The sequence below is a fragment of the Homo sapiens genome, chromosome 5 (genome assembly GCF_000001405.40).
Source record: "Homo sapiens chromosome 5, GRCh38.p14 Primary Assembly".
NCBI lineage: Eukaryota > Metazoa > Chordata > Mammalia > Primates > Hominidae > Homo > Homo sapiens.
The window spans coordinates 19798443-19813458 of record NC_000005.10 but is presented as its reverse complement, the minus strand read 5'-3'; the positions used below and the strand labels follow the sequence as shown (position 1 = coordinate 19813458).

Sequence of the window (15016 nt, the reverse complement as noted above, 5' to 3'; positions counted from 1 at the left end):
CTTAAATATTTTCTCCAAGCAATTATATCATTATAATGATATATATCATATTTATCTTCTTTTCTTATCCACATAGAAATGAGTTTTAACTTTCTGTTTTTTTATAGAATCTGACAATTCTTTTTTTAAACAATGGTTTTATTCCATTGTGCCTATTGTAATTTTTTTTATTATACTTTAAGTTCTGGGTTACATGTGCAGAACATGCAGGTTTGTTACGTAAATATACACATGCCATTGTGGTTTGCTGCACCCATCAACCCATCATCTACATTAGATATTTCTCCTAATGCTATCACTCCCCCAGTCCCCCACCCGTCAACAGGCCCCAGTGTGTGATGTTCCCGTCCTTGTGTCCATGTGTTCTCATTGTTCAATTCCCACTTATGAGTGGGAACATGCGGTGTTTGGTTTTCTGTTCCTGTGTTAGTTTCCTGAGAATGATGGTTTCCAGCTTCATCCATGTCTCTGTAAAGGAAATGAAGTCATCCTTTTTCATGGCTGCATATTATTCCATGACGTATATGTGCCACATTTTCTTTATCCAGTTTATCATTGATGGGCATTTGGGTTAGTTCCAAGTCTTTTGTTATTGTGAATAGTGCTGCAATAAACATACATGTACTTGTGTCTTTATAGTAGAATGATTTATAATCCTTTGGGAATGCTATTTCTGGTTCTAGATCCTTGAGGAATCGCCACACTGTTTTCCACAATGTTTGAGCTAATTTACACTCCCACCAACAGTGTAAAAGCGTTTCTACTGTAATTTTTAATGCATTTGGACCCATTACAGATTTATTTTGTTTTTTCTGCTTAACAAATTTTTGTTGATTAGGTTGTTTCTTGTTTTGTTTGTTGTTCTTTTGTTCTCCTGTAATGACGTCTACTGGAGTTTCTATCTGTTTGGTGGTTTTATGTTTTATGCTTTTTGCAATTGTGATTGCTCTTAATTTTTTGCATGTATTTATTACTTCCATGTCAAAACATAATATCTCCTTCTACTTCTCCAACAACGACATAGAATGTTCAAATTTCAGTTACATATTTTGTTTTCTACGTTCTACATGCACTTTCATAATACACCAAGTTATTTTTAAACCTCCAAATAATAATAATTATTGTTATTAGTATTAATGTATAAAGTATATACTTACATTTCTAACATATTTAACACTTTGTTTGCTTCTCTCTGCTTCTATATCCAGTTTCTTCTTCCTGGCTTCAATTTGCTTTTTACTGAACTATGACTGTACTCTATTTATTTTTAACAGATATACTTCATAAAGTTTAAAGTTGATACCTTTACAGTTCTAAACAATACAAAAACCTTAGGATATTTAAACACTAATTACTTTCTCTTTGTTCACATTATTTTTGTCTAGCATTTTGTTTCTTTGTTTTATAAAGTACTTTCCAGATGGGTCCTTATTGCTAAAATCATTTAAACATTCACTCTTGCTTAGACTTACACACATTTATCAATATCTTTGTTGTTGATTGCTTCTATCCCCTTCTTCCTCCCAGTTTGATTTCCTTATTGTTTATGTAGAACCTTTACTGATTTATTTTTGTATTTGATCTTGAATGGTCATTTTTTTCTTCTTTGTTGAATTACCATTTTTTTCTGTGTGTGTGAAGGATTCTAGGATGAATTTTTCCACTATTGTTTTGTTGAAGATATATTGTATACTGGATTCTATTGTTGCTGATAAGCCTGCTATAATTTCATTTAAATTGTCTTTCTTTCTCTTAGGCTTATTTCAGGATTACCACTATGTCCCTTGTGTTCTCTGGATTGGCTAATATACCTTGGCTCAGATAATTTTTTTCTTTTTATATTTTTTGGTCTGTGTATTTATTTCCTAGAGCTGCCGTAACAAAGTAGCACAAACTGGGTGACTTAAACAGCATATTATTATTGTCTCACGGTTTGGGAAGCTGGAAGTCTGAAATCATGAGGTGAGCAGGATTGGTTCCTTCGAAGGGAAAGATCTGTTCTAGGTCTCTCTCCTAGACAGCCATCTCAGGTTCACACAGTTTTTTTCCTGTATGTGTATCTAGTGTCCAAAGCCCTCCATTTTATAAGAACATCACTGATGTTGGATTAATGACTGCCTTAATGACCCTACCTTACATTGATTAGCCCTGTAAAGACCCTATCTCTTAATAAGATCACATTTTGAAGTATTGGGGTTCAGAGCTTTAACATATGCTTCTTTCTTTATCTCTTTCTTTTCTTTCCTTCCTTCCTTCCTTCCTTCTTTCTCTCCCTCTTTCTTCTCTTTCTTTCTCTCCTTCTTTCTTTCTTTCTTTCTTTCTTTCTTTCTTTCTTTCTTTCTTTCTTTCTTTCTTTCTTTCTTTCTTTCTTTCTTTCTTTTTCTCTTTCTCCCTTCCCTTTTCCTTTCCCTTTCCCTTTCCTTTCCTTTCCTTTTTGAGACAGAGTCTTTTTCTGTCATCCAGGCTGGAGTGCAGTGTCAGGATCTCAGCTCGCTGCAACTTTCACCTCCTGGGTTCAAGCAATTCTCCTGCCTCAGCCTCCCAAGTAGCTGGGATTACAGGCATGTGCCACCATACCTGGCTAATTTTTGTGTTTTTAGTGGAGACGAGGTTTCACCAGTTTGGCCAGGCTAGTCTTGAACTCCTGACCTCAAGTGATCCAACAGCCTCAGAGTCTCAAAGTGCTAGGATTACAAGTGTGAGCCACTGTGCCCAGCCAACATATGCTTTTTTCATATGCACTATTGAGCCCAAGGCAATCTAATATCAGTACTTTTTAATTGATTAAGATTTTTACACCTAATTAGAAAAATATAATTAAGTATATTATATTTACTTAATTACTTAATCAAATATATTTACTTAATCAAATATATTGATTTGCTTTGTTCTTGTTTATTTGAACAATTATTTGAACTTGTTTCATCCTCGTTTCATTCTAAAACTTCTAATTGATATAATTTCTTAAGTTTTATCTCTAATGTATTAATGCTGTCTTGAACTAAATTAAATCATTATCCTATGCTCTTCGAATTAAGTATGAATATTAACTTGAATTTGTCTTAAAATGTCTCTTTCCTTTTGCCTTATTTTCTCCTATTTTATTTTATTTTTATTTTATTTTTTTTGAGACGGAGTCTCACTCTGTCACCCAGGCTGAGGTGCAGTGGTGTGATCTTGGGTCACTGAAACCTCCACCTCCCAAGTTCAAGTGATTCTCATGCCTCAGTCCTCCCGAGTAGCTGGGGTTACAGGTGTGCGCCATCATGTCTGGCTAATTTTTGTATTTTTAGTAGAGATGGGGTTTCACCATGTTGGCCAGGCTGGTCTCAAACTCCTGACCTCAAGTGATCCGCTCACCTCGGCATCCCAAAGTGCTGGGATTACAGGCAGGAGCCACCTCACCAGGCCTCATTTTGACATCTAGTTTTTCTTGCTTCAATTCTTCCAAACCACATAAATAACAGTCTTTTTCAAGTTTTCTATTTTCCGTGTGTGTGCTCGATGTTCCCATTCTCATATTTCCTTTGTCTATTCACTATTGGAAGTGGAGATTTGATCCTGGTACATCTTTAACATTTTTATATTCACTGGTCTCCAGTGGTTTATGATGGGAAAAAATGGGGTTCTTAGTGGAATCCCTTTAAACTTTAACTTGAGAAATATTCATAGAGAGCCACTTATCTTTTTAACTGCTGTCAACAAATGGTTTCATAAATATGGATTTAATTCTTAACTACTGATTCTTATGTATACACTTAATGTAAACAACAACAACACTAAAATATAAAACATATATTTCCTTTTATCTGGGCTGTAGGTTTGAGTTTCAATTTCTCATATGAAACTTTTTTTACCAAGAACTCCTAATAACCACAAAATTCTTTGCTACTTTTTAAAGCTGGTGAGTATATAGTCTAATTTTTTTTTATTATACTTTAAGTTTTAGGGTACATGTGCACAATGTGCAGGTTAGTTACATATGTATACATGTGCCCTGTTGCTGTGCTGCACCCATTAATTTCAGGGAGTTGATTTTAAGTGTTTTGGCTTTCTTCAGACAGCTCCATTCTAATTCTATATCTTAAGGAGAATGAAAGTCTATTTTTTCTAGTCTTCAGGAGGTGTAAAAATCAAATTATTGGTGCCTAGAGCGTGTACTTAGTTAATTTTCCCCAGAGGCACTGGGCTATCTGACAGTTGGGAATGGCCTCCATGTCCCTAAGTCCTCCCTCCCTTCTTTCTCCCCTGGGGATTATCTCTTACTGTTTCTAGATTGCTTGTATTGTATTTTAGTTTGAATTTTTATATACCATTTCTAATTGTTCATAGTAAGAGAAATGCCTAGATCAGCTTTGTCTGCCATTTTTATGGCCACATCTTTCCTCGGGTTTTGTTTTGTACAAAAGCAAGATTTGTATTAAATAATATTTTTAATATCCTTTCTGGATATACATACAGTATTCTTTTATCATGCTTTGATACTTTCACACAGATACAGAGATAAAATTCTAAAATATTCCCAAATATAATGTAGAAATATATATTCCAAAAATTGTTTTTCTTTATAACTAATTGTAGACTGATTTTCTATTTCTTTTCCTTTTTTTTTTTTTTTTTTTTTTTGAGACAGAGTTTCGCTCTTGTCACCCAGGCTGGAGTGGCAGTGGCGCTCTCGTGGCTCACCACAAGCTCCACCTCCCGGGTTCAAGCAATTCTTCTGCCTCAGACTCCCAAGTAGCTGGGATCACAGGTGTGCGCCACCATGCCTGGCTAATTTTTGTATTTTTTTTTTAGTAGAGACAGGATTTCACCATGTTGGCCAGGCCGGTCTAGAACTCCTGACCTCAGGTGATTCACCCACCTCGGCCTCCCTAAGTGCTGAGATTATAAGCGTGAGCCACCGCATCCAGGCTTAGACTGATGTATTTCAACAGGTATTTACTTTAAGGAAATGAATTGTTTTTAACATTGGTATTACATTATTCTCAGAAGGTATGTTCTATTATTTTATTGATTTTTATCCAATGAATGTATGAACATTTAATTGCACTGGACCTCACATAACAAAGACATTTAATTTAAAAGTTGAGCCTAGTGGGCCTTCAAATACATTCAGTTTTATTTTTGTTTTTTTTTTGTTGTTGTTGTTTTGTTTTATTTTTTCTTTTGTAAAGAAAATTATAGGCATTCGTTACAAAAGTTACAAAGTTAAATATAATCAATCATTTTCAGCTAGAATTCTTTGTTTCTTATGCAACATACTTGTCATTATATTCATAGAGATTAAACAATATATGCTATAAAATATTTTTCTACATTAAAAACAAAAGAATAATATTACATATAATAGTATACTAACTTAGTCATGGCCTTTTCCTTGTTTTCTATTGTTTGGTGCTTTAGCTTGACTATAATCGAGTTTATTTTGACAAAGGTTGAATACTATATAGGATATATTCATTTACTCAAAATGCATTTATTTAAAATGCACAGTGACCTGTGTTCCGGTCACTATGTTACACATTGTTTATATAGTAGTGAAAAAAGCAGATAGATTGGGAAAGGTTAACATTAAATTGACATTCACACAAATAAATATTCAAGTATAAACAATGATGAGAATTGTGAAAAAAACTTACTACATACACAGTGTAAAACCTAGATGGAGGATGAGGGAAGAACTCTCTGGGGAAGGAATAATCAGGCTGATATCTAAAAATGAAAATGAGCCAATCAGGGCCAAAATGCTGATGTGTTTTGTGTGGTCATTGGGAATGGATAAGTGTTCGTGGTGGAGAATTAACATGTGTAAAAATCCTGAGATGGAAAGAAGTTTGTGCAGTGAAGGCTCAAAGACTCAGGTACCTGTGGTTTAGGAAAGAAGATGTAGTGAGGAGAGAGAGAAAACTACACTTCTCAGTAGAGCCTCGACATTACAAAGCCCCTTTAAGGAAATAATTGGGGACTTAATATTTGGAGAAACTGAAGACATTGTTTACTTTTAAGAAGGAAAGTAATGTAGTATCAATGTACAGTCATGTGCCACATTAATGGTGTTTCAGTCAATGATGATGGTTCCATAAAATTATAACACTGTATTTTTACTGTACCTTTTCTTTTTTTAATTTTTAGTTTTATTTAAAGTTTTATGTGCAGGATCTGCAGGTTTGTTACATAGGTAAACATGTGCCATGGTTTACTGCACCTCTCAACCCATCACCTAGGTATTAAGCCCAGCATACATTAGCTATTTTCCCTAATGCTCTCTCTACCCCCACCACAAATCCCAACAGGTCCCTATATTTTGTTCCCCTCCCTGCATCCATGTGTTCTTGACAAATGGGATCTAATTAAACTAGAGAGCTACTGTACCTTTTCTATGTTTAGATATATTTAGATACACACACCATTGTGTTAACATTGTCTGTAGTAACCAGTACAGTAACAAGTTGTACAGGTTTTTAGCCCATGAGCAATAGAGAGTATTATATTATATAGTCTTAGTGTGTAGTAGGCTGTACCATCTAGTTTAACTACACTTTATAGGGTTTCCCCAGTGAGGAAATAGGCTAATGACACACACTAAGCAATGAATTACTGTATTTATTGACATATATGTATCGTTATACAATCAGTCTTGCTTCTCTGTGAGCAACTGGTTTCAGGGAAGAAAGGTTTTCAGAAAATCAAATGTAGGTTAATTTCTGTAAAGAGTTAATAGGCAATAGGAAAGAGGGTAGCAGAGCAAAGTTTGCTTACTTTAACATAATGATTGAAGTGACAATACAAGTTTGGGCTATATAATGCATTATGAATTCAGGACAACTCCCCTGAGACATACTTGTAACATGTATTAAGTATCTAGAAACCGAAGAAGGAATATTGAACTAGTATTCTTCAGTTTTTACGATATAAATCTTTGACATTGGTAAATCCAGCCTCCTAGAGCCCAGTTTTATTATGTACATTGATAAGGCGGAAGAACAAGACAAATGCTAAAACCCTATTTCACTTCAAAAGTTGTGGCTTCAACATAAATTTAACTAACAAAATGCCATTTGCTTTGTTAGATTTGGAGATTACATTGATAAAATATGCCGCTGCAATGATTAGTGAAATTAAGACAAGAAGCAGAGGCAGTTTTGTGAAGAAATAATTGTATCACAGTGCTGATAGTGCAACAGCAGTGCTGAACACGCAGGCAGTGGTGCACGAGGAGAGATGCATTTGACTGAGATCAATTTAGGGAAGGCTTTGGAAGAAAAATAACTTGCACTAATATATTTTGCTCTTAGTAGAAAACGAGGCTGGTAAAATGTGTTTGTTAAGAAGGAACTCCAGTGAAATTTTAGGAACTACATATCCAAAGGTTAAATGTGTCACATTCAAGGACAAACAGGGGTAACGGTTGGAGCAGAGTGCATGTGTTAGAAGTGGGCCTGAGAATAATGCCAGAGAACGTGGATGGGTGACTGAGTACAATCCTGGTAGAAGATTCGAAGAAGAAAATAGCTATATGGTTTATCCATAAGTGTTTGGGAATCCACTGGGAGATTACCAAGTGGTAAATGAAATTGTGACATTTAGAACAAGCTTGGCATCAGAGAGGATGCTTTGTTGTTGCACAAATCTAGACAGGAATTTGACAATTGTAGAAGAAATTGAGAGAAGGAAATAGATTGATTAAATATTTTTTAAGATGTAGAATTGACACGACTTTGTGTCTGTTGAAAGGGAAAAAAAAAGGGCTGCAGGACTATTTGAAGGTGGTTGGCAGGCTCCGGCTTGTATTAAAGGACTGATGAGTAAAGGGCATGAGAGTGATGAAGTTATTTGGACAGGCTTCATCTGGGTGTTTTGTGGGCCTGCAGATAGGCAGGTATAGAAAAATGCAAAGTATTACAGAGAGATGTAGGCTAAAGAGTAGCATCAGGAGACACTGGAGTTTAGATGGTAATTGAAGCCATGGAGAAAGAGTTAGGAAAACACATATGGATATCTTATTCAGAATGGAATTCTGAAGAACAAAAACTTCAAAGGGGAAAGAGAAAACTGGGACTTCACAGAGAGTTTGAAATTAAAATTCTGCAGAGGGCGTAGAATCAAGTGGAAGTGAAATCATAGTAGACAAAGGAGAAAGTTTCAAGGAGGACGTGGATAACAAAATCTGATGCTCCAGTGAGAATAATATAAGAATGATATATTTTCGGCTAGAAATGGTGGCTCATGTCTGTGATCCCAATACTTTGGGAGGCTGAGGCAGGTGGATCTCTTGAGCCCAGGAGTTTTGAGACTAGCCTGAGAAACAGGGCAAAATCCCATCTCCTCAATAAATACAAAAATTAGCCAGGTGTGGTGGTGTACGCCTGTAGTCTCAGCTACCTGGGAGGCTGAGGTGGGAGGATCATTTGAACCTTGTAGGCAGAGGCTGCCGTGAGTTGAGATTGTGTGCCATGGGACTTCAGCCTGGGTGACAGAGCCACACCCTGTCCAAAAAAAAAAAATCATAATAATAATAATGATTTTTTTCCATAGCTGATTTTATGCCTAGGTGGCTATTTTCTCCTGAAGAGACTTAGTAATCTTCAGAGGCTGAGCCATATTCAAGAATATTGACTAGTGATAGAAGAAGACTATAAATTAATGGGAATCCATGGATTATTTACTTATTTGTAATAGACGTATGTATCTTCTTCAACTGTTTTAGTCATCGCCCTCATTAATAATCCAGGGCATGTGAAAATTTACATGTTTCTCAACATGCTAATCATCCTGATCTCTTATCTGTTTTAATGATGTTTATATTGGTTAGTAATTTCCTGCTGGCCCTGGAATAAACCATCTGAAACAAGCTTAATAATGGGAAGTAATTTCTGAGCTTATATACCTGAAGAGTAGAACAGGGTGTAGGCACAGGTAGAATCAGAGATACAAATAATTTGATTGGGATTTTGACCAACCCTCGAAAGTGGCAAATTAACAAATTGTGTGAGGTCCAAGTACCTAGATTTACAGGCTATATAGTTCAGTCAGTTTCTATATTTTATTATAGAAAGGATTACCTAGGTATGGGAGAATGTTAAGTGCCCAATAGTTGTCAAGTACACATTTTAGGATTTACTTATTTATTTATTTTATTTATTTTTTTTTTTTTGAGATGGAATCTCGCTCTGTCCCCCAGGCTGGAGTGCAGTGGTGCGATCTCGGCTCACTGCAAGCTCTGCCTCCTGGCTTCACGCCATTCTCTTGCCTCAGCCTCCTGAGTAGCTGGGACTACAGGCGCCCGATGCCATGCCCGGCTAATTTTTCGTATTTTTTCTTTTTTTTTTTTTTTTGAGACAAAGTCTTGCTCTGTCGCCCAGGCTGGAGTGCAGTGGCGTAATCTCCGCTCACTGCAAGCTCCGCCTCCCGGATTCCCGCCATTCTCCTGCCTCAGCCTCCGGAGTAGCTGGGACTACAGGCGCCCGCCACCACGCCCAGCTAATTTTTTGTATTTTTAGTAGAGACGGGATTTCATCGTGTTGGCCAGGATGGTCTTGATCTCCTGACCTCGTGATCTGCCCGCCTCGGCCTCCCAAAGTGCTGGGATTACAGACTTGAGCCACCGCGCCCGGCCTAGGATTTATCTTTTAAGGTAGGTACTAGTTTATCAATCATTTCTAGGTACCAGTTTATCAATCAACGTCTTTTGGTTGAAAACAATTTATTAGCTAGCTTAATCAGAAATATAAAATAAAATGTAAAATAAGAAATGTATTTTATTGAAAATGTAAACATTCTTGCTTTGCGTCTTACTGGATTACCTCGATGAATGACAGTCGACCTGTGCCAAATGACTGAAGTCTGGATTTCAGAATTACTCGCTGGGAAAAGGCTGAATTACCATAATGGGTTTAGACCAGTGCTGGCCAACATAACTGTGCAGTTGTGGTTATGTTGTACATCTGCACTATTACGATAGTCACTAGCTACATGTGACTACTGCACATTTCAAATGTGGCTAGTGCAACTGAGAGGCTGAATGTTTAGATTTCATTACTTTAAATTTAAATATGTGTCTAAGCTATCAGTTACAATATCAGACAGTACTTGTTTAGACTAATTAGGAAGAAAATGTAGCCACATTTGCAAAATGGATCTAAAGCGATGAGTCTGTAAAGGTCACATAAACTCATATGCGTGTGAGACATTATGAATCTAATACCTAACTCTAATATGTAAAAATGTTACGAAGACTGGGAGAGTTAAGTCAGACTCACTTCATCTTGGTTTCAGATAGCATGCATTGTTATTGTTCACTGTATTTATAAATGTGCGAGTTTGTGGAGTATTTGTACCCAAAGGCATGGTTCAGTAGATCACCTTCTTAACTGTAACAGAATCCGGCTCTGAGTAATTTAAGCGTAAAAGTGACTTTTTGGATGGATTTTGAATAGTTTTCACAATTGGCAGAAAGGCCAGTGAGGAAGGGTGAAAATAAAACAGAAACCGAGGGAGGCTGAATAGCTGAAAGTGCAGCCACGCTGACACCTTAGGAACAATTGGGCCAGACCATTGCCCATGACACTTCCGTCACCAGACTTAAACTATTATTGCTGCTACTTCTTTGTTCTTGATAACACAACCGTAAATAATATTTTTCCCTTGGTCTTTGTGTCACTTGGTCAAATTTCAAAGCTCCAGACAAGAGCATTTTTTGGCCCAGCCTAAGTCATGAGCCAGTGATCTGGCAGCTTAAGTAAGGAAGAGGCAAAATCTGCCCCTTGAAGGTTTCATACCAAAAGTTTCACAATAGAGTATTGATTTTTCAAAAGTAAGATGGGTGTACATGAAAGACACACATACACGCACACACACACAAACACATATGCCCAGCATATACCTAGTATAATGCCTCAACTCTTTGGGAAATTTTAACATATTTGAATTTTACTTTGTTATTTTATCTTATCTGTTATGCCATCAAGATATATTAAATATAATTCATTTTATTTTAAAGTAAGCAGCATCTCAGAAGAATTAGAGGTCACTACCTTTCTTTTTTAAACTTACTCCAGTGTCCACCAACCTGTTTTGAAAAAGAGATTTTACTTGTCAGGTTATATATATAAAACTAAAAGTAATGATTCATAAACTTGTTCTGGAACATCTTGTCTGTTCGGTAATTGCTTGTTCAGTTCATTAGCTACTTTGCATGCTTGAGTTCTTCCTATTGTTATATCAAAATTATGAGAAGTATTAAACACATTTATAGTATTTGAGGCAGCATAAACTATTTTTAATTAAAATAAAAGAACACCAAGCAGAAAGAAAATGATATAAGGGAGTCATATATATTTTGCTGAGGATTACATTTCTCTTTTACGTATGATTTATGTTATGAGTTTATGCTAATTTTTTTTACTTTTTAATGTAGGATTGTCATTGTTATGCTTGTTCTTTGAACCCTGTTATTAGTGTTCCATTTAATTAAATTGATGAGGGTGATTTTTCAATTTTGTTACAATTTTAGTAAACATTTAGATAGAGAATGGCAAAATAATATCTAATTACATATCAATTATTGGCACAAACAACATTAAGTAAGTAAATATTTGTATGGTGTTGGGGGGGAACTGTCAATAAGTAATGCAGCTGTGGGAGACCAAAAGCTCTTTCTGGAGAGCTGTTAATTTGCATGTAAGTTGTTTTTTATTCTGCACTTTGCAGCTGTAGTTTTCTTAGTGTCTGTAAAGAATGTTGAAAACAAAGAAATAAGAATATGCTAAATTTGGGCTGATATATTAAAAACAAAGCTCTGATCTGGTGTATATTCCCTTGGGAAAAATATGAATAAAGTATGTGTCTGTTGTTTTCAACCTTGTTTGGATGATAGAATCACATCAAGAGATTTTAAAAAATCCTTATGCCCAAATTATACATTCAGATCAATTAAGTAAGCCAATCTGAAAATAGGACTTGGATATCAATATTTTCTAAAGCTACTGAAATTATACTGAATTGATATGTAACTTTGAGAACCATTGGTCTTTAGACTCATTTTATTAAACAGTATGATATATAAGGGTACCTTGAATAAAGTGACACAGACCTTTGACAGTGTTAGACTTTACTACATTGTTTCAATGACTGACACCTGTAAAATAGTGATTAACGTAATGAAACATACGTGTACTTAGTCTTTTTGCCTGGCTTTGAGTAATGCTGAGGAAGAAATTTCTAAATGAAAATATTCTTTTAAAAAAGATACTGTTAAAGGAAACCAAGGATTTTTTTCTCTACACGTCTTCATGCCACCTCTATTATTGTATTATGTTAATTTCTATTTTCATTGTTGTTGTTCTGAGACGGAGTGTCATTTTGTTGCCCAGGCTGGAGTGCAGTGGCGCAATCTCAGCTCACTGCAACCTCAAGCAGTGAGGCAATTCTCCTGCCTCAGCCTCCTGAGTAGCTGGGACTGCATGTGCATGCTGCCACACCGGCTAATTTTTTGTATTTTAATAAAGACTGGGCTTCACCGTGTTGCCCAGGCTGGTCGCGGACTCCCGAGCTCAGGCAATCTGCCCGACTCGGCCTCCCAAAATGCTGGGATTATTATGAATGTAGTACATGCCTGTCATGGAAAAATAAAATAGTACAGAAGTACTCTCCATTTTTTTTCCTACCATTTTCTACTCAGAGCTCTTCCTTACAGATAAAAACCAACCTATAATAGTTTAGTATTTTTGTTTTAACCAGAGTCTATTTTATCTTGATTTTCTGCTATGGTATGTGAGAATCCAATGGTTTACACAAATCCTACCTCTTTTTCCCTTGTCCTCATAGTGTTTTATCTTTAATTTTATAGTTCTTCCTTTGATTGCCTTTTCAATATATATAAAATACTGATACATTTATTCTTGTCCTCATTAACTAATAGGTTACAATTACTTTCCATTTTTTTGGATGAGGATACAGAAAACCCCTCTTTGGGTTTATAAGACATTCAGATAAATGAGGAGAATTTGAGTTCCCTTCATCACTGACTCCTTCCGTTATCCCAGACATCATAATTAATATTGTTCTTAAAAAAATTACATACATTTTTTTTCCAAGAATAGGCACAATTGTTGGCAGAGGTTTATGACTACGTGCTAAATGCTCTGGTTGGAGACATTAAGTACTTTTTCTATAAATATTTTCCATTAACCTTTATCTTTTAGAGCTATCTTGCCCCCACCTGCCATTATGCTTGGAATGTTTGACTCCTGAGCTTCTCAGGAAAAATGCAAAACAGGTCAAAGAGTTGCACAGCAGAAGCCTTTCAATAGTGTTTTTAAGGATATGGTTTCTTTTATCCTTCTCTCTCTTTATCAATCATTTATTACTTTATTTACAATTTGTCTTTGAGGATCTTATTGAACTATCTATTGTGTTGAGAGCAAACCCTACAAACTTTACTTTGTGGGAAGTTTAAATCTTTTAAATCCTTTTAATAATTTAATGGGACTTTAGAAAGAAGAAAAAAATATAAAGCTTGTGCTCCATCTTCCATCTTGAACAGAAAAACTGGGGAAACTCACATAAAGATGAATGTATCTGTTTGTGTTATAATGCTTCTTGAAAAATGGTAGTTGGTTTGAAAAGTTTGCATGTGCTAAGCATTGGGGCTATCAAGCACATAAAAGATAATGCATGATACGAACCTCATTTTCAGTGTCAACTAGTCACCGATTTTAGCTAACATACTAAACTTCATTGTTCTTCATTGTGTTAGATGTTAGACAACAGGAAAAAAATAATCCTCTGAAATAGTAGTGTAGCAGCAAAGTTATCTTTTTAAAGATTTATTGAGGTATAATAGATATAAAAAAATTACTCCTAGATAATGTATACATTTAAATAAATTTAGACACATGTTTATACCCATGACATCACCACAATCAACAGCAATCAAGTTACTAAACACATTCATCACCCTCAAAATTTTCCTTATGTATGTGGTGTGTGTGTGTGTGTGTGTGTGTGTGTGTGTGTGTGTTGAGAATATTTAACATGGGAACATTCCTGTTAACATGTTTTAAGGTGAACAATACCATATTGTTAACTATAGATACTATGTTGTACAATAGATCTCCAGAACATATTTATCTTACATAATGAAAACTTTATACCCATTGAACAAAACACTTCACACCCATTGAACAAACACTTCACATTTCTCCCTTCCCCCAGCCCATTGCATCCACAATTCTCTTGTATGCTTGTGTGAGACTGAATATTTTAGATATCCCATATAAGTGAAATGATGTAGTATTTGCTCTTCTGTGACTAGCTCATTTTGCTAAGCGTAGTGTCTTCTACGTTCATCCATATTGTTGCTAATGGTGACATCAGCATCATGAAGAGATACCTGCACACCTGTGTCCATTTTGGCATTATTTGTAATACCTAAAATATGGAAACACCCAAATGTCCATTGACAGATAAATGGATAAAGAAAATGTAGTATTAATATATAATAATGTATTGTTTAGCCTTTAAAAAGGTATCTTAATTTATGTTAATATCAGTATAATTGTGTTTACATATGCCATATAATAATGAAATATTCCACCCAATTTCCCTAATTTCCAAAGATATGTTATCATGTCAGGTATGTTTTATAATCTATTTACCTAAAAATCCAGTAATATATTTTAATCAATATTTGAATTAAATAATTAGCGGAATAAAAACACTAAGCTTTAAAACACTAAGATTTATCTTGTAGTTTTAGAATGAGCGGAAATTGATTTTCAACATGTAATATAATTTCAAATTAATTCTGTTAAAAGCATGGAGATAAATGGTAACTTTTTGAGATTTTTTTCTAAAACTTGTTTCATGATATGAAATATGAGGGAAAAAAAGCATTTATTTTTGCTAGAAAGCAGAGCCTCATTTCATTCATACCCCACACACCCCACTACCCAAGTCCAATTCAAAGATAAAAATGCTTATCAGGTATGAGTATTTCCAAAGGTCTGGAAAT

The 15016-nt window shown here is 35.3% G+C and overlaps 1 protein-coding gene across 20 annotated transcripts in view, besides 1 other annotated feature; it reads left to right on the top strand.

The window, feature by feature from the left end:
- The window catches only part of CDH18 (cadherin 18), a 1104418-nt gene that overhangs the window by 762255 nt on the left and 327147 nt on the right, over nt 1-15016 (top strand). The window lies entirely within an intron of this gene.
- Nucleotides 10592-10792: a silencer, noted in NCBI's record as "peak5177 fragment used in MPRA reporter construct". NCBI's record gives its function as "represses an SCP1 promoter by STARR-seq MPRAs in K562 erythroleukemia cells {active_cell/tissue: K562}" and the evidence as "EXISTENCE:reporter gene assay evidence [ECO:0000049][PMID:32103011]".